The 1,362-nt window shown below is 35.3% G+C and overlaps 1 annotated feature.

Moving 5' to 3' along the window:
* Positions 367–901: an enhancer, noted in NCBI's record as "NANOG hESC enhancer chr5:164562237-164562771 (GRCh37/hg19 assembly coordinates)". NCBI's record gives its function as "activates a minimal SCP1, AML or CMV promoter by ChIP-STARR-seq in naive H9 embryonic stem cells {active_cell/tissue: H9 hESC(naive)}" and the evidence as "EXISTENCE:reporter gene assay evidence [ECO:0000049][PMID:30033119]".

Below are 1,362 nucleotides of genomic sequence, written 5' to 3' on the forward strand. Positions count from 1 at the left end.
AACTCAGGCAGGCCTGGAAAGTATTTAGCCTTTTAGTGATTTTTCAAAACTTTGGACTACTTCATTATATATTACTCTGTCAGCTAAGCTTCATTATTTTATTATTAAAAACTTTGTTAAAAACCAGATGAACATCTATCAAACATTTTAAACATTTTGTAACTTTATTTATTATCTTTCCTTGTTTTACTAAAGTATTTTAAAATAAATTCCAGATATTGTGGCATTCAAATCTCCCATATTTCAGCATATATCTCTAAAAAAAATTTTTTAAATCAAACTTATTGCCCCAGTGCCATTAGCCAATCTATTAAAGTTAACAGTATTTCATTTATCCCACAATGTTTCATATTCTGGTTTTTTTTTTCTCTCTGCTTCCTTGTGGTATTTACTGCATTCCCTTTCCCTTATATTTCTTGTTAATGGATATTAGCTCTAGAAACTTTCGTGGGTTCATGTTTTAGTAAGAATACTTCGCGGAGGCACTGGGTGGAGTTTAGCTTTTTGAAATCAATGCTCTTGCTCTCATCTCCTGGTTTGTGGCACTGCAGTTCAGGGTACTCCCCCAATTAACAACAACCATTTTAGTTTCTTCCACTTCTGAGAGTGTCTTCTTTGAAATCACAAGCAGATAAAGAAAACTCACAGCGGGCTGTTTGTCTTTGATCTTTCCTTCTTTCTAGCTGTGACCATCAGTCATCCATTGTTTTTTCAGTCCCTGTCTAGGACCTACTCTCATCCTCCCTTCTGAAAGTTTTCAAAAATTATCTTTCTGCATGCCCAAACAACAGTGCCTTCAGAGCATATGTAACACAGATACACATCAAGAAGGGAATTGAATTTGAAAAAACTGCATCCCTTAAAACAAATCACCATGGGTCCACCTGCTTTATCTACTGTCACTTCTGTTTTGACATTTGCCAGTGTGCAGGGAGACGCTGGGCTAGGGTCCTTTCTTCTTCCTTCATCCAAATGCCCTTTGAGAGAATAGTCTGGGAGATTGATGTGTTTTAACAGCTGGGTTGTTATCAGTAGATAAATACTCATTGATATTCAAGTTTACAATGAGAGTAACTAATATCAATTACCATGGAGAAGGGTAATTCCAACTATTTCTTCTGAGACCACCTTATTTCTCTTGTATTAGGTCAAGAAAACATTCTTCTTGCCTTGTCTTAAGTTACATTATGATAATGTTCTGCCATTAACTGTCAAAGAAGAGAACCATGTATTTTTTTGTTCCCTTTAATTCTTAGGATTCCCCTTAGTTGGGCTTAGTCTTAATCTACCCCTTCAAATTTATTGTTCAGAGGAAACCAAGAAACAAACATCAGATTATGTTCAACCTGAGAATTAGTATTC

The sequence above is a fragment of the Homo sapiens genome, chromosome 5 (genome assembly GCF_000001405.40).
Source record: "Homo sapiens chromosome 5, GRCh38.p14 Primary Assembly".
In the NCBI taxonomy this organism is placed as follows: Eukaryota; Metazoa; Chordata; class Mammalia; order Primates; family Hominidae; genus Homo; species Homo sapiens.